The sequence below is a fragment of the Homo sapiens genome, chromosome 13 (genome assembly GCF_000001405.40).
Source record: "Homo sapiens chromosome 13, GRCh38.p14 Primary Assembly".
NCBI classification, from domain to species: Eukaryota; Metazoa; Chordata; class Mammalia; order Primates; family Hominidae; genus Homo; species Homo sapiens.
In genome coordinates, this window is record NC_000013.11 from 76,803,605 (window position 1) to 76,822,597 (window position 18,993).

Consider the following 18,993-nt stretch of genomic DNA (forward strand, 5'->3'; position numbering starts at 1 on the left):
ATTATGTTCAAATTGCTGGCAATATTTTATTGCTCATTTTTTGTGATCTTTTTTAATAGCTTCTAACTATCCTGATTTCCGCATATCACCCAACAACGAAGGAATTTCTTTGCTTAGTTGATACAGGAGCATTAACTTAATGTTGCAGAATTTAAGGTCTCCTCTTTTATAAACTTATAATATCATTTCTCTCCCTGTGCAGTAAGTCTGATTTAATTTCCTCCCAGAAATCAGTAAAGGTACTATTTTTGTCTTTGCTTGCTTTTAATCCTTATTTGATTAAAATACCATGTGTTTAATTGGACTGGGTTTTCTCAACCTCCTCAATTCTAAATATCAAAGGCAGCTGTAGGACTGCTGGAATGGTGTTAACAGGCTCCTTGGATTCAACTGACTGTTCTGGGATAATCAGTACATCAGCAGAACCCACAAAATGCTAGTTCCTCTTCCCCTTCATGCTGCCCTGTGCTGCCACACCCTCCACATCGCTTTCAGAGTTCTTAACAGCAAGGGAAGAGGAGATATTTATAGGAATGTGGAGGGTGTATGAAACCTATTATTCCCCTTTCTAACAGGCTAAAATCTTTTTCAATCTTGCAGGTTTTTGAAAAGACTTCAAGTGCTGTTTGATTGAAGCCCTGCAGTATTGACAAGAAAGGCCTCACTGAAAACGTCAGCATTTGAAAATGAAAAAGAAAAACATAGGCCCCTGTCAATATATATACATATATATATACACATATACATATATATACATATACATATATATACACATATACATATATATACATATACATATATACATATATATACATATACATATATACATATACATATATATGTATATATATATTTGGTTTTTTTAGACGGAGTTTTGCTCTTGGTGTCCAGGCTGGAGTGCAATGGTGCAATCTCGGCTCACTGCAACCTCCGCCCCTCCTGGTTTCAAGAGATTCTCCTGCCTCAGCCTCCACAGTAGCTGGGATTACAGGCACCCACCACTACACCCAGTTAATTTTTGTATTTTTAGTAGAGACGGGGTTTCACCATGTTGCCAGGCCGGTCTTGAACTCCTGACCTCAGGTGATCAGCCCGCCTCGGTCTCCCGAAGTGCTGGGATTACAGGCGTGAGCCACCGTGCCCAGCATCAATACACATTTTTAAAGAAAATATTAGGTATCACTGTGGTGCTTTTACAAACTAGTGAGCTTTTGAGATGCCAGGAGAAAGAGGGAAGGATGAGAGAGACAGAGGCAGAGACAGAGAGAGACAAAGAGAGCAATTCTCTCGGCTCCAAATGGGAGCAATATTATACCAAAGTAACTTCCCCATCAGTAGACATTTCCAGGGTTTCCATGATACCCACACAAGGCAAAACTGAAACATAGGCTACGACGATGGAGAAAAAGCCCAATTGCAACATCACCATCCTTCTAGCACTGTCACAACAAAGTGCCACAAACTGGGTGGCTTAAAACAACAGAAATTTTTTCTCTCACCGCTCCAGAGCCTACACATCCAAAATCAAGGTGTTGGCAGGGTTGGTTCCTTCTGGAGGCTCTGAGGGAGCATTCATTCCAGGCCTCCCTTCTAGCTTCTGGTGGTTGTTGGCAAACCTTGCCGTTCTTAGCGTGCAGTGACATCACCCCAATCTCTGTTTCCATCGTCTGTCTCTGTATTCCTGTATCCAAATTTACCTCTTTGTGTAAGGACAGCAGTCATTAAATTAGGGCCCACCATAATCCAGGGTGACCTCCTTTTAATTTGATTACATCTACAGAAGCCTAATTTTTAAACAAGGTTATATTCACAGGTATTGGGTGAAGACTTCAACCTGTCTTTCTGGGAGACACAATTCAAGCCACAGGACCCTCTATAATAACAAAATAGCCTCGTGCTACCACCTAGATAGTCAGTGTTTATCTTTGCATATTCAGGCCTTTGTAGAAGTTCCTCATACTCTAGTACTTTTATAAACACTTCCTCAAGTCCTTATTCCCTAAGAGTTATTCATATAAACTAGCAGGTGTAGAGAGGTACTCACATTGGTTCTCAGTCAGTGATGGCCACACCCAGCCATGGGACTTGCTGGGTGTGCTGCCATATTTTGATTTAAATTTTACAGAGTAGAGTACAATTTGCTATGAATAAGAGGTGAGGAAAATAATTTATCTGAATCCAAAGAAAGACTGTCTGTTCACCAGAACACACAAAAATTTTGTCTTGTGAGTATATAAAAGGATGAGTTCAAAGAAGTCAATAGGTCTACTCAAAATGGACACCACTGGGGCAAACTAGTGAGAAGTGTGGAAACAGAGAAGACTTTAATGGACACTGTCAAGCACTGCTATACTGTGATGGGAAATGCAAAGTAATTGTGGCTTACTTGTTATGCTGTTCTGAGACTTTCAATCTCTTCCAGTGTTGCTGTCAAATCTGTTGATACCTAGAACATGAAAATGTTAAAAACTTCTTCTGTTTGTTTGAGCTACACTTTTTTGCTTTGTTTTGTTTTGAGACAGGGTATGTCTCTGTTGCCTAGGCTGGAGTGCAGTGGTGCAATCTCGGCTCACTGCAACCTCCACCTCCTGGGCTCAAACCATCCTCCCACCTCAGCCTCCCAAGTAGCTAGGACTAGAGGCACTCACCACCATCCCAGCTAATTTTTGTATTTTTGGTGGAGACAGGGTTTCGCCATGTTGCCCAGGCTGGTCTCGAACTCTTGGGCTCAAGCTGTCCTCCTGCTTTGGCCTCCCAAAGTGCTGGGATTACAGGCATGAGCCACCGTGCCTGGCTACACTAAGTATAGACCAAATGCCCCAACTCCAGCACCACTCCCGCTAAATAATACCTCCAACATTTACAATTGCTTAACTCGGTACATGTCTAAAGATGAGAATTTCAAACCTATAAAGAAAATTATTCAGAGTAGCAGAGAACTGTTTTTAATCTACCCAGTGATTCGTTCCATGTATATGGGAAAATGAATCCCATTCAGGACTGGGATGAAATCAACCGACTTCACCAAGAAGACTGATCTCAAGAATTATGAAGCTGTCTATAGCTTTTTGAGAACAATGAAAATATTTTTGCCCAGGATATAACCCCCAACAGTTGCCACAGAGCCAGAAATTCTGTCAATGGGGACCTGTTCTGAAGATGTGTGAAGAGCTGTCTGATATAATGCCAATACCCACTGCTACTCCCACACAACAGCTAATATTTTATAAAAATTCACTTACTCAGGTATTTTTCCAACCAAGAACACTAGAAATAAGCTCAGGAGACATATCTGTCTGGGAAGACACCTACTGAAGGAAAAGGCAAACGTGCCCAAATCATGTCACCTCCTTTGCAGTTGTGCCTGGGGGCTGGCCCTGTGACTCTTCTCCTCGAACTTCCATACAACATGTCTATAGATGACATTTTGCATAACTTGGAAGATGATGGGGGAAGCAACAAGGTAAGGGATCTGCCCAAATATTTTCCCAGAGAAAAAAGTCATGTTCAGTGAAGGGAAATGAGGGAAAGAACAGAGATTTGGGAAACAAGAAAAAGCCATGTGTTCTTTTGCTCCAATGATCAACTTCATCCCTCTGCACCCTATTAGAAACCTGCTGACTAGAGAGCCCTCTGCCTCTGATCCTGAAGGCCAAGTGAACATCAGGTCAAAAAATAGAATCCCAGGACGCAATGGCCTTCCACTTCTCTCCACAGCCCACAGCAAAGCTCTTTAATAAGATAATTCCCCATGCCCTGGTAGGAAGCTGGGTCAGATGCAGAAATATCATGAACTAAATGTCAATTAAGAGCCTCATATGTTTATAGTTGAGAGGAGGATTCTAGAAATGTAAATGGGGCTGAATTTCTCTTTTCTGCCCTAAACTTCACATCTCTCCTTCAGAAACTTGCTTTCTACTTCTCTCCAAAAAGTATAACAGTCAGAACTTCCAGGCCTCTCCACTGATGCTATAAGCAAAATAACATGTTCCCTTTGGCAGGATGCCCTGGTGCTGCCAATTTAATTATGCTTTTCAGTATTTTTCAGCCTCCTTTTAAGTGGCAGAGACTGGTAGCCTTCTCTCTTCTTTCCTGGACACACAGCTAGACCTCAATTTCCAGCTCTCTCGTGGTGAGGTACGGCCATGAGACTGAATTCCAACAGATGGATTGTGAGGAGTGTGCACCACTCTCAGGTCTGGCCCATGAAACTTCCATGCATGGTAATTCTTGCTTTTTTCCCATCTGCCAGCCTGGTGCAACAAACATAACCACTTTGGAAGCCACATGGCAAAGATGACAGAGCCACAAGACGGAAAGAGCCTAGGTCCCTAAATCGTCACCAGGAAGCTCTAATCTAAAAAACAAACAAACAAAAAACACTCTTTAGGATGTTCCACAAGCAAGAAATAAAATTCTATTGTGTTTAAGCCATTATACATTCTTTACTCAAATTTTGTGTTACAGCAGTGATATGGTTTGGATGTGTGTCCCCACCAAATCTCATGTTGAAATATAATCCCCAGTGTTGGAGGTGGAGCCTGGTGGGAGGTGTTTGGGTCATGGGGGCAAATCCCTCATGGCTTGGTGCTATTCTCAGGACAGTGAGTGAGTTCTCACAAGATCTTGTTGTTTAAAAGTGTGACACCTTCCCCCTACTTCTCTCTTGCTCCTGCTTTCACCATGTGAGATGCTGCTTCCATTTCGCTTTCTGCCATGATTATAAGCTTCCTGAGGCCTCCCCAGAAGCTCAGCAGATGCCAGCGCCATGCTCCTGTACAATCTGCAGAACTGTGAGCCAGTTAAACCTCCTTTCAATATAAATTACCTAGTCCCAAGTGTTTTTAATAGCAATGCAAGAAGGGCCTAATACCATATTCATATTCATATACATATTTATATGAATATACATATTCATATTCATATACATATTCATCTATATGTATTCATCTACATCAATCCACGTAAGTATCCAGGACCCTTTTATGTTTCTCCCATGGCCAGGCCAGTCTTTCTGGCTATGAGTACAACATGGAAATACATACTGAGAGCCAAAGTCCATTTTGTGATCCTGGCAACATTGTTAGTTGCAGGATTAGGATTACATGACTTTCAGTCCACTCATCTCTTCACCAGGAACATAGCTGTCTCTAGTGAATCTACCTTGACTGATATGCACCTTCATTCTGAGGTGCCCACCGTGGAGACCGTGGGCTTACTACACTGTTTTTCACTACAGCATTGCACTGGGCAGTTATGCTTCTGAAAACACTGCAGATGATGTAAAAGAGCCTGTACATAACAGATGTGAAGTGATATACATATATGGAGAGATACTATTATTGTTGTTTTCTTGTTACAAAAGGCACCTTTTTCATTGGCAGTCGTGTTTTTGATCCTTTCCCTTCATCTGGTGGGAAATCCTGTGTCACATTCTTCCCTGCTTAAGGCATGACCATAAAGTCAAATATTATTGTTAAGACAAATATTTTTATATTACACATTACACAAAGACACATATATTTATTATTAAATTGATTGTTTCTTGGAAACACACCCAGAAATGATTCATTTCTTAGAAAATATGGTAATAAAACATTTCATCTGAAACAAGACTATAGCATACGTCAAGTATGGCCAGTGGGTGATAAGTCACATTTCACTTTCTCAAGATTGTTTCAACAATGAGTAGACTCATAAGTAGCCTTTGAAATGAAAAACAGGAATTGGGAGGAGAAGGCAGAGCAAGAGCCTAGATAAGAAAAATAGGTCAAAATTAAGCATTGACATAGCTGAAGGAAATGTAGTTCAATACTCCGTATATAAATAATTGCCCTGATTAGATCTAAAGGAGTTTAAAAGAAGGTGTGGTTAAGTTAGAAGTGTCACCAGGAGGGCTTCCAGGCTTATTCTCCCTGAGACAAGGCTAAGTCCTTCCTTTTGTAGGCTCTGATATTTGATGTGGTCAGCATCCATGGGTGGATTCATCTCTTGGGAATTTAAAGTCAATAGAGATTGAGGAGTAAACAAGAAAGCCAACATATTCATCTACATCAATCTATGCAAGTATCCAAGATCCTCATGTGTTTCTATAGCCAGCCCAGTCTCTCTGGATATGAGTACAATGTGGAAATACATATGACAGCAGAAGTCCACTTTGTGAGCCTGGCAACATTGTTAATTGCAAGACTGGGATTACCTGACTTTCAGTTCATTCATTTCCACAGTAGGAACATGCCTGTCTCTAGGAGTCAATGCATCAAGCTATTGAAGATGTGGGTCTTTCCCCCTCTTGGGAGACAGCTTGAATGGACAAGGCCAACTTTGACCTTTCTGTCTTTTGTTTTCCTTCATCCCACACTTATCTGTCCTTTACTTCTCCACCCATGCCTGAATGTACCATTTTTTCTCACTCTTCATAATATTAATAGGCTTAAACAATGTTCTTGAGTTGCCTGTTAATTGCATGTGAAATGCCTTATTTCTAAGATGAATCATCCTGATATGGTTTGGCTCTGTGTCCCCACCCAAATCTCATGCTGAATTTTATTCCCAATGTTAGAGGAGGAACCTGGTGGGAGGTGATTGTATCATATTCCCCCTTGCTATTCTTGTGATAGTGAGTTCTCACAAGATCTAATGGTTTAAAAGTGTGTGGCACTTCCCTCTTCACTCTCTCTCTCTCCTATTGCCATGTGAAGATGTGCTTGCTTCCTCTTTACCTTCTGCCATGATTTTAAGTTTCCTGAGGCCTCCCCAGACATGACTACTGTACAGCCTATGGAACTGTGAGTCAATTAAACCTCTTTTCTTTATAAATTACCCAGTCTCAGGTAGTTCTTTATAGTAGTGTGAGAATGGACTGATACACTTCCTGATATCTGAGCTCAAGGGCCATGGGATATTTTTATTCAAGTCACCTTTGCCTATAAAAGTTAGTGTTATTTTTCCCCCAGAGAAGAATATATTTTGTCTGTTTTTGAAGCAAATGTCATTCATTTGATGGTCTCATCCCCAAATGTTTAGATATTCTACTTTTAACTAAGAAAAAAAAATCTTATTACTAAGTTGACTTTCTAAGCACAAATTTCTTGCCAAAGGAAAAGTCTGGAATGGCAGATTTGTAACTAAAATACCAATTAGTACTTGAGACACAATGAGATTGTTGAAAGAACAATAGACTTGACTTCAGAACACTAAGGTTCTTGACTCTGTTCATCCACTAAAGCACTGGGAAACTTTTTTTTTTTTTTTGCACATTTTCACCCTCTGTTCATTATATGAAAAGTAAAAGAACTAGATGAAATCATTTGTAGAGTTCCTTTTAGCTCTATGTTTTCATGATTCTAAGACACTAGAGCAGACATGCCATAGTACCAAAAACTCTTGCTAAGAAGAAAGGGGAAAGAGAAGACCTACCAGTGACTGAGCCTTTACCAAATTCTAAGCATTGTGCATATACCATCTCACTCAATCCTTAAAACCACACTGTAAGTAGATCCTAGCATAATCTGCATTTTACAGATGACAAAGGGAGGTACAGAGAAATTAAGTGATTTGTTCAATGTTATGGGCTGAATGATTTTGTCCCCCCCACCCACCCCAAGAATTTATGTGTTGAATTCTTAAGCCCCAGTATGATGGTATTTCAAGGTAGAACCTTTGGAAGATAATTAAATTTAGAAGAGGTAATGAGAGGGGGGCTGGTCCTTGTGTAAGATTAATGCCCTTATATAAAGAGACTGGAGCACTTTCATGCTCTCTCACTCTCTCCTCTCAATCTGTCTCTCTCTCTCTCTCTCTGTCTCCCTCTCTCCCCACTCCCTCCCCTTCTCTCCCTCTTCCTCTCTGCTATGTGAGGACACAGAAAGATGTCAGCCATCTGCAGTCCAGGAAAAGATCCCTAACCAGAAACCAAATCAGCCAACACCTTGATCTTGGACTTCCCAGCCTCTAGAACTGTGAGAAATACATGTCTGCTGTCTAAACCACCCAGACTATGATATTCCATTATAGCAGCTTGAACTAAGACACCCAATACCCTACAGTTAGTACAAGGTCTGAACCTTATGTTAAAAATAGAGGCCAAATTAAATTGTACCAAAATATTTGAAGAAATTGTCCCCAGTGCAGCCTGCTATGTGCCAACAGCACCAGTACTTGAGTGCTACTACTCTGAGGGCAGGATTAGAAATTAATTTGTGTCAGTGCCACAAATGCACAGCAAATGACACAGATGGTCTGGTTTGAAGAATAGGCACTCTAGAGGCCACCTTGATCAAAAGGATTTCACTATCCCAGGAGCAGGCAATGCTGAGCACCTGCTAAGCCAGCCTTTAAAAATCAGTTCACTGGGATAAGCATTGCTTTCTTCCTGTGGCTTTCTTCAAACTGTAAATTCTACTGCATTGGGAGTTAGAAGTTCATTGCTTCAACCTGGTCACAGATGCAACTGGTGAGGCAAGAGTGCACCAGATGCCTGGGGAGGGGATAATGATTGAGAAGAGAGAATTGACACAAGAGAGAAGGGAGAAGAAGATAAAGGCAGATGAAGGCAACAGCCTACTTCTCTCTTTGCTAGGACCAATCCTAGAGAATTCTGCTCTTGGCTTAAGCTGAGGAGCTAAAGCCATTACTTACAGCTTACAACCTCCCAAGTCAGGCAGCAGTACTCACATGGGAAGGTTATCAGAAGAAGCAGGGAGTGTGTCATGGTGGGGACATTACTGTAGCAGATGGTGGCCATGTGAGCTGTGGCGGCAGCCAAGGGCTTGTTCAGAATGGATTCTGTTCTGCTTTTATGGCATCTGTTTCCAATCTAGGGCTGAGCCTCCAGATCTGCTGACACTGCTCCTTCCAAATCCAAGTCAGTGCCCAGCTCAGCATCCGGACCCTCAGCCCTTGGGACAGGCTGCATTGAGCTCGGAAAGAAAATTGGAATTTCCCCTTCTTGCCTCATTAAAGGAACCATCTAAGTTCACTTCTCTAACAGGAGCAAATTTGGCTGAATTTAGTCTTGAGCAGTGATGAGCAAAGGTATCATATTCCATAATCCTCCCTGTGTCTCAGTAATAAATGCACTGGAGTAAGAAAGAAATATCTGCACATGTCCTTACTCCCCTGGGGATGTTGTGACTCCATCTGCTGCTTCACATGCCAAGTGCTAAGGATGGCAGTCATTTCTAAGAAACCATAAAAAATTTTACTGAGCATATTCTGCACTTTTACCTCCATTGAACATATATCACTAGGCACCAGGCAGAGTATACAATGGACCACGAAATCTCATTGCCTTAGATGTATCTGTATGCAAGAAATCAAGTCATTCTGGAGGTTTCATCTGGGAAATACAGATAACAAAGGTGCTACATTGATGCAGTTTTTCTTATAACAATTTTCCTAATCCATTACTTCATTTTCCATGTGTTGACCCAGCTCTCATTTCAGCCTCTTTAGCCCCATCTTGGGTATGAGATTTATTGTTCCAATGTGGACTGTGAAGAGGAAAGTGTGAGAATGAGATCATAGGTTCCACTAAGCCCCACTGTCCCAAAACACAATGAGCCACTTTTGGCAGCCTGATCAGCCCTACAGGAAGGCCACTGGCTAAGGAACCATGCCAAGCTTTGAGCCAACCATGCTGTGTTGAAAGATTTCATGCAAGAGTCCTGAAGCAGAGTAGTGGAATTTTCTGGAAGTAAAGCACCCCAATTCCTGTCCCAGAAACAATGTTTATTGGATGGCCTCTGGCTCCTAGCGACCTGGTTTTCATTTCCATCAGGCAAATAGAAATGAATGTAAAACTTTCTGCTGCCTCACCATCCCCACCCTCCCAAAGCGACCCAGGGTTTCCAGTTCCTGCCGCAGACTCTGACTCCTCTCACCTCCTTCCTAAGCGAGAGCTCTCTCTGCACCCTCTGCTCTACACAGAAGGTGGGTGGAAAATGGAAAGCCTCAGGGGCTGTCAGGAGAGCAGAGGAACAGAAAAGCACAGATCTGAGCACATGCACTCAAGCATGTGGGCCACCATGGGGTGCCATGGCCTTTGTGTGCAGAGCCACATGGGGCCAGAGTTCTACCTGCCCCTAGAGTTTATGTCCCAGGCATTAAAATGTAGAGGAACTTCTCTCTGCCTTCTTCGTTTGCTGGTGAGATCATAAGCTTGGAAGGAGTAGTGGGGACCCAAAGATGACACAGGACAGAGCCAGGATTAGAATTCGGGTCTCCTAATGACCCCATGCCTACTCCTCCTCACTGTCTCCTTGTGCGAGGGGTGAGAAGAGAAAGGAGGAACAGAGGATCTTGGGGTGGAAAAGTTTGAGAACCTTTAGCTTAGGCTAAATTTCTAAATCAGAAATTGTGCAGCTTTCATCTGTTCTGCACACATTCCTCACAAGGCACCTGGTGGCTGCTCTGAAGATACATCCTCATGGCATTGTGCCAGCTGAATGCTGTGGGGCAGGAACAAGCCTCAGCTCACTCCTCTGGTGCAAAGTCCTCTGGATCCCAGAGCCTCTCTCCTGCAGCCTGGGCAGCCTTCAGCTACTGTGGAACCAGGTGGAAACTTATAAAAGGGAAGCTGTGGTTGAGCACTGGCAGACAATATGCAGAGATATAGTGTGGAGCACTTTAAGGTTACCTACATCTGCAAAGATCCCTGTCCTGCTGCCTCCACAGCCACTGTTGAAACACCAGTGGGACATAGAGTTCTGTGCCTATGGCAGAAACAATCCAGATTAATTCATTTTAATACAGAGTTTTGAAGTTTTTTAATTTACCATCTTTAGATTGTGGATCTACTTGCAGGACAAAGCCTAGATTTTAACCTGGGGCCACACCACCTTCAGGACATGCATATTCATGAAGAATCCAAGCCACCAGTCATTTTTTCCTCTTTTTTTAGATTCAGGGGCTACACATGCAAGTTGTTATGGGGGTATATTGCATGATGCTGAGCTTTGGATTTCTATCATCCCATCATCCAAATAGCGAATATAGTACTCAATAGGTAGTTTTTAAACCTTGTCCCTTTGTCCCCTCCCCTATTTTGGAGTCCCCAGTGTCTATTATTGCCTTTTTTTTTTTTTTTTTTTTTTTTTGAGACGGAGTCTTGCTCTGTCAGCCAGGCTGGAGTGCAGTGGCGTGATCTTGGCTCACTGCAAGCTCTGCCTCCTGGGTTCACGCCATTCTCCTGCCTCAGCCTCCCGAGTAGCTGGGACTACAGGCACCTGCCACCACACCCGGCTAATTTTTTGTATTTTTAGTAGAGACAGGGTTTCACCGTGTTAGCCATGATGGTCTTGATCTCCTGACTCGTGATCCACCTACCTCGGCCTCCCAGAGTGCTGGGATTACAGGTGTGAGCCACCGCGCCCGGCCAATCGTTGCCATTTTTATGTCTGTGAATACCCACTGTTTAGCTCCCACTTTTAAGTGAGAATATACAGTATTTGGTTTTCTATTCCTGTGTTAATTCACGTAGGATTATGGCCTCCAGCTGCCTCCATGTTGCTGAAAAAGACATGATCTCACTCTTTTATATGGCTGAATAGTATTCTGTGGTGTATCTGTACCAATTTTATCCAATCCACCATTGATAGGCACCATTGATTCCATGTCTTTCTATTGTGAATAGTGCTGCGATGAACAAAGGAGTGTGCGTGTCTTCTTGGTGGAACAATTTACTTTCCTCTGGGTACGTATCCAGTAATGAGATTGCTGGGTCCCATGGTAGTTCTATATTAAGTTCTTTGAGAAATCTCTAAACTGCCTTCCATAGTGGCTGAACTAATTCACATTCCCACCAACAGTGTATAAGCATTCCCTTCTCTTCGAAGCCTGAATTACATCTGTTATTTTTTGACTTCTGATTAATAGGCACTCTGAGTAGTGTGAGATAATATCTCATTGCCAAGCCACCGAAGTTTTTGATGTGGTTCCTTCAGATGTTGTTATTTGTCTTCTCCCTTCTTATGTACCAAGATAATAATTACTCCTTGTGGTACATGCTAGGGAACTTCAACACATCAGGCAAGATGTTACTATTCCTATTTTACAGATGAATAAAAAGAAGTGAAAAAAATTCTGATTGCATGATTTGCCTCAGATCTCACAGCTGGTAATGGGGCTGTTATTCAGACCCTGGCCTGACTCTTTAACCTGGATTCTTTCCATGGTAGTACTCCTTCTACCCATCTCAAGTATAGCTGACCAAAACTCAATCATCAGCTCATTCATCCTCCCTCTAAAGCTGGACACATAGAAACTCCAGTTCTACACCCCGCAATACTCTTCTTAATCATCAAGACTCAGCAAAGATAGATCCTACTACTGTCCTGTATCCCTGAAATACTAACTAGAGAGAGGCAAGTTATATGCTTTTCCTTGGGATTTCTAAAGGTTTTCTTCCTGATACTCCAATCATGAATCCACTTTTAAATCAGCTACTCACACTAGCTGATATCAGGTTGGTTTTCTGTTTCTGTAATACCTATAAATGTATGTCCATATAAGTGTGTCTGTCTTCAGTCATAATCCTTGACAGAAAGAACCTAGACTGTTTAATTTTTGATTCAGCATCAAACAGAAAATCATCCAGAATTAACTACTTAATGAATGTTTGATTTCTACAGTGAAGATGATGCTGATGACAATGTTGATGATGGTGACGGTAATGGCGATAATAATGGTTGGATAATGGCCTGCAGGGCTCTTTCCTATAAAAGCATCCAGAGTGCTTTACTGAAAATGTTCATGAAGATTGACCAACAAGCTGCAGTAGAGAACTTAGTAGACATGAGTGGCAGAGTCTCTAGGTACTGGTTTTCTCTGGTAGTGTATAGACGTGTTTACTGCCTCCTCACTCCCACTGCACTGAATGACATGGCAGAAGAGGCTCAGAAGCTGCAGGAGGCAACTGCTTCAGGAAGAAGCACCTGTTAGCAAACCAAAGCATCGCCTGCTTCCCACACAGGGAACCAACCATCGCTGAGTCATAATTCACCAAGCTCAGAGCCAAACTGACAGGCTGGAGAAAGAAGTCAACAAAACCTTCACAGCAGGTGCAAGGGACTACTGGTTTCCCTTATGATGTCCTGAGCATGACTCCAAGTTGGAGAAGCCAGTGCAGGGAGCCCACTCACCACATGAGCCGGCCACGTGTCTTGGCTTCCCTGCCTTTGGTGTGTACTCTGTGTCCCATTGTCAAGCCCACTGAGCAGGGTCAGGGTGATAGTTTGGGGCTTCAGTCACTGAATAGTAACATCCATAGCCGATGGTCTGAGAATGAAACATGATGGAAATAATAAAGATAAAAACTACGGAGACACTTGCACACCAGCATGGGACTTCCCCAGAATGCACTCAGTCCTATAAATGTATCTTTTCAAATGCTCAGAAATTCTTCTCTCAGAAGGTTGTATACATAAATCAAAAATTACCTTTAGTTTCTAAAGCAATTAGACTTAAGTGATTGTGAATAAAGAATACAAATAGCTTATGTTATGCGTTTAGTCAATATCTTGCACATCCCAGACCAATAGCTGTTGCCCTGATTCCAGCTTGCATTTAGGACATTCATTTTTTATTGCAATCATGTTTTGCTGAGTGCTTTCAGGGAGAATAAATAAGGCTTTAAAGGAATAGCACAGGAAATTTATAAATTGAAAGTCTTTTTACTTTAAGCTAACTTTACATGGTGTGCAATTGTATGTCAGTGGCTTCCAATCTTTGAAGAAACTGTACATTTTTAGAATGAAAATTTACCTTAATATGAACACTTTCTGGCTTGCTTTAGAAAGGGGACACAGAAATCAATCCATAGACTCATATTTCAACCATCTCTTCTTTTTATTTTATTCCAAGCTCATAGCGATGAGAACTGGAAAAGAATAAAAATGTGCTTTTGCACTCATATATTCTTATTCTGTTTTAATTGCAGGTGAAGGATGACACTTTATAGTGAAGACATTTTACTACAACTCAGAAAGGAAACGGTTATGAGCTGTAAGGAATGGGGACATCAAAAGATGTATGACACTTAAATTCAGAAATACCCATCATTTTCCTGTACATGGTATTACAAAAGATAAATAACACTCACATCATTCACTGCATCTGCTTACATAAATGGTATTGGCTTGCTATAAATATTCACTGCTATCTTTTACAATAAAGTACGCATTAGTAACGATGCTTCTATTCCTGCATTTGAGGTCAAGTGAAAAGGTTAGTGTGCCAACTTCTAAGATAATGAACTCTGACCATTCCTTTTCTCTGACATCCACATTCAAACAATTACCAGTCCTGCCCCATGGTCTTAGAGCTAAAGGAAGAGGAGTGGGGAAGAACTATGGGGTCTGGAGCCAGCCTAAGTCCAAATTCCAACTCCACCACTTATCAGCTCTATAAATTTGACAAGTTGCTTAATCGCACAGTCTGTGCCTCACTCTGCTCCTCTGTAAAGTGGGCACAGTAATATGTTCTGTTGGAAGGACACACTGAGTTATATGGAAAGCACTTAGAAAGGCACGTAATAAATGCTACATAAGCCTTAGCTCTTTGACAACAATGGCCTTTTTTTTTTAATATTGGCACTTCCTCAGTACCTCCACTTCCACTCCTCTCCAGACCCTACTGCCTCCCTCAAGTCGACTGCAACAAATAGGGTTCCAGCTGGGCTCCCTGCTTATGACATAGCTCACTCACCTCACCCACCTCCATTTCAAATCAAATGTCCTCTCCTTCATGCTACCCACTAGACATTTCTATCACAGCACCTACTACACCTTGGTCTTTATCTATGTTTATGTGTAGTGCAGCTGAAAAACACCTATTTTAATTGCATTCAGGAGACCACTTAGGAAACTGTCATTGGTTAGGCAATACCTTGATAGGTAAATTTTGGCAGGAAAGTTCCAAAGACTGACTGAAAAGAGAAGCTAAGAGAAAGCTAACTCCTTGGTATGAGATGTACACGTGAATTTAGAGGGTGGGTTAAGCAGTGAAAAGTAAGTTGGCTGAATGGGGAAAAGTAGTCAAGCAACATAAAAAAAACTTCAGCTCACAGATGGGCAATGCAGTGGGAAATTCCTAGTGGCAGTGGATGAAGGAAGGACACCGAAAACAAGAATAAGTCATATTTAAGTTCAAACTGTCTGCATTTCTAATATGTGAAAAGGACCCAAAACTGAAGTAATGCCTGATACACACACAAAGGGCTTGTGGTAAGTCGTTTGGGAAGAAATCAAGGAAAGAGGGCTGAATTCTATGTAGAAGTCTAGATGAATGACAGGGAAGAGAGAGGCTGTGTGAAATGAGACAGAACTGAATGTGGGAGTTCAGGGGGCTTATAATTTGGAGCCAGAATGAAGACATCAGCGCTCTAGAACTTGCAGAAATCTTGGTGATGTAGTTGGGTTTCCCAATATGTCTGTAATAAAAGGCTCAAGGTAGTCTTACTTAAATCCCAAAGCTCAGGTGTGTTAGTTCAGGCTCTTCAAGAAGCAGACAGGATTCGATGTGCAGAAGTTTTACTGGGAGAAACACCTTGAAGGGTTATGGGATCAAGGATTAAGCTGGAGAAGGTGAAAACAGACTGGAAATTGAGACAGGACTGACTCCTTTGAAAGGAGAGTGGGAAGAAAGAAAAATTGAGTAGACTCTCAGACCCCAGAGCAGTTCTAAGAAAGATCCAGCCAGGCCAATGAAAAGCCACTGAGCCAAAGTCACTGTTGGAGGAGTCCTGCATCTCACAGGAATGGGCCAGCAACATGATCAGTTATTGGCTGATAATAGCCCACTGAAAATGTGCACTCGGCACAAACATGATGGCAAGCCCAGAAAGCCAGCTGGCACCATCAGTCAGTCATGCTGCCACGGCAGGACATTGGAGCTGCAGATTCACCACCACCCAGCGTCACCTCAGCTGATAGGAATCATGTCAAATGCATCATTCAGTACTTAACTGCTCAATAAATATTTGTTGAATTAACAAATTGATCCACCCTACACACCAAATAATTATCCTAAGCAACTATTGAAACCTGATGTTGTGCACAGGAGAATTCATTTTATTATTTTTACTATGTGTAGTCTTTTAAAATTTCCATAATAAAAAGGTTTATTTAAAATCATGTGTAGAAACACTATGGTGGTTCCACAAAAAATTAAATTTAGAATTACAATAGGATCCAGCACCCAAAAGAAGTGAAAGCATGGACTCAACACATAAACATACACCCATGCCCATAGAAGGACTATTCACAATAGCCAAAAGGTGGGAAAAAACCCAAATGTCCATCAACAGATGAATGGATGCACAAAATGTGGTATATACATGCAAAAGAATATCATTCTGCTTTAAAAGAAGGAAATTGTAACACATGCTACAGCATTGTGCTAAGAGAATTAAACCAGTCACAAAAGGACAAATGCTGTATAAGTCTGCTTATATGAGTGTGTTAGTCCATTTACATTGCTATAAAGGAATACCTGAGATTGGGTAATTTATACAAAAAAAAGAAGTTTATTTGGCTCATGATTCTACAGGCTGTACAGGAAGCATAGCCCCTATATCCATTCTGGTGAGGGCCTCAGAAAGCTTCCAATCACAGCAGAAGGCAGAGGAGAGCCAGCATGTCACACAGTGAGAGAGAAAGCAAGAACCTGGGGAGAGGTGCCAGGTCTCTTTCAAACAACCAGATCTCATATGAGCTAATAAAGCGAGAACTCACTCATTATCGCAAGAACAGCACAAAGCCATTCATGAAGGATCGGCCCCTATGACCCAAATGCCTCCCCCTAGGCCCACCTCCAACAGCACATTTCAGTAAGAAATTTGGAGGGTACAAACGTCCAAACAATATCACTGAGGTTCCTAGAGTAGTAAAATCCATTGAAACAGAAACCAGAGTGGTGGTTGCCAGGGGATGGAAGGAGAGGGGAATAGGGAGTCAAGGTTTAATGGATAAAGAGTTTCAGTTTGCGAAGGAAAGAAAGGTTGGGAAGAAGAAAAAGTTCTGGTGATAGTTATACAACAATGTGAATATATTTAATGCCACTGAAGTGTACACCTAAAAAGGGTTAAAATACTAAATTTATCTTATGTATATTTTATTGCAATAAAAAATATTATTTAAAGAATATATTTGATAGAGGGGGAAAAAAATAGGAATGCTCCATTCTTACGCCTTAAGGCCTAAGCGTTGTTTCGCTGCTTCTAGATCCCTGATGAAGTCAGCACCGCTACTGACTTCTCCCAGCCCAGCAGTTTGGCTGGTGGGTTGGTTCCAGGGCTTTCTCTGATTGTGCTCCTCCTGGAGTCTGCTTAGAGCAAGTTCTCAGACTCCACCCAGAAGCTTTGTCCTAGAGAAGCCATTTCTGCCAGCAATTCCCACAAAAGGCCACAAAGTCCAGGTCCCTGTAGCTTCCTAGACCTTGGAAACTGGCCCTGATCTTTTGCTCCTTTGACTAAGATTTCTGTTTCAAAATAAAAGTAAACTTATTTTGGTAAATGCATCCAGATGGCTTTCTCCCCTTTAGAGTCTTCTGGCAGAACAAAAAAGTGAGAAAGAAAGCCTGCGAAGCTGTATTAGTCTGTTCTCACACTGCTAATAAAGACATACCCGGGTAATTTACAAAGGAAAGAGGTTTAATTGCCTCACAGTTCCATAGGACTGGGGAGGCCTCAGGAAACTTACAATTGTGGTGGAAGGTGAAGCAAACACATCCTTCTTTACATGGCAGCAGCAAGGAGAAGTGTGGAGCAAAACTGCTCCCATGATTAAATTACCTCCCACTGGTCCCTCCCACAACACATGGGATTTGTGGGAACTACAAGAAGAGATGTGGGTGGGGACACAGCCAAACCATATCAGAAGCCAATTGAATCTTTGGCAAAATGTTGCTGTGGTGGACTGGTGCATTAGTCCATTTTCATGCTGCTGATAAAGACATACCCAAGACTGGGCAATTTACAAAAGAAAGAGGTTTAATTGGACTCACAGTTCCATGTGGTGCAGGAGGCCTCACAATCATGGCAGAAGGCAAGGTGGAGCAAGTCACGTCTTAAGTGGATGGTGGCAGGCAAAGAGAGCTTGTGCAGGGTAACTCCCCTTTATAATACCATCAGATCTCATGAGACTTATTTGTATCACAATAACAGCATAAGAAAGACCAGCCCCCATAATTCAATTATCTCCCACCAGGCCCCTCCCACAACATGTGGGAATTATGGGAGCTCCAAGATGAGATTTGGGTGGGGACACAATTCCAAACCATATCAGCTGGCACCCAGCTAGGGTAAGCAATGTGTGTTATCCACAAAAAGGACAGAGGAGGAGTGGGCAGGCGTCAAGCCTTACCTGTCTGTGATTCCCACTTCCCTCTCTGCTCCTGCTCTTGCTTCCCATCCTTGATCACGGGACCTTTCTCGCTTTCCACTCTGCTTCAGGCACTAAACCACAGAGGATACCCTATTGCTCTCTGCATTTCCATCTTCCTTTCTGCCTATCTGTCCACTCGCTTCATTTCCTTTATTATGCTAGAGATTCCAAATCACCAGGAACCCTGAGTTTAAATTTCAGGCTCCACATACTGTGTTCAAGGTAGTTTACTAGGGGAGCCAGGGAAAAACAAGTCAGCAGTTAATTCTTCAAGCAAACACGCTGGCAGAAACAGATATGACCCTTCAGCTTCTCTCACTAATCTGGAAGCACTGGTTTTTATCTGAATAGTGTTGATGATGTGTTGGGTACCTTCTGAGACCTATAAATCCTTATGACTACTCCATCAAGTGAATGTCATTATTCTCATTTTGCAGATAGGAAGCCTGTGTAACTCAACTGAGGGCACACAGAATAAGGGACAGACCCAGGATTTGAACCCAGGCAGACTAGCTTCAGAGACAGTGCTCTTAACCACTAGCTAGTTACTGAGACATGTCCATTTTATAATGCAAACTTAATCATGATCTACAGAAAGGGTATATTCTAA

The 18,993-nt window shown here is 42.1% G+C and overlaps 2 long non-coding RNA genes across 2 annotated transcripts in view; both read right to left on the reverse strand.

The window, feature by feature from the left end:
* LOC105370265 (uncharacterized) overlaps window positions 1-2,503 on the reverse strand; it is a 94,000-nt gene extending 91,497 nt beyond the window's left edge. Inside the window, exon 1 of the long non-coding RNA XR_001749923.2 lies at window positions 2,387-2,503. This is a non-coding gene — a long non-coding RNA (uncharacterized LOC105370265). The remainder of the gene's footprint in view (window positions 1-2,386) is intronic.
* Window positions 2,504-12,050: 9,547 nt separating this feature from the next.
* LOC107984587 (uncharacterized) lies at window positions 12,051-17,732 on the reverse strand. Its single transcript, XR_001749928.2, has 3 exons — window positions 17,700-17,732; window positions 13,765-13,879; window positions 12,051-13,278 (listed from the first exon to the last, which is right to left on the reverse strand). It is a non-coding gene; the product is annotated as an uncharacterized LOC107984587 (long non-coding RNA).
* Window positions 17,733-18,993: the final 1,261 nt, after the last annotated feature.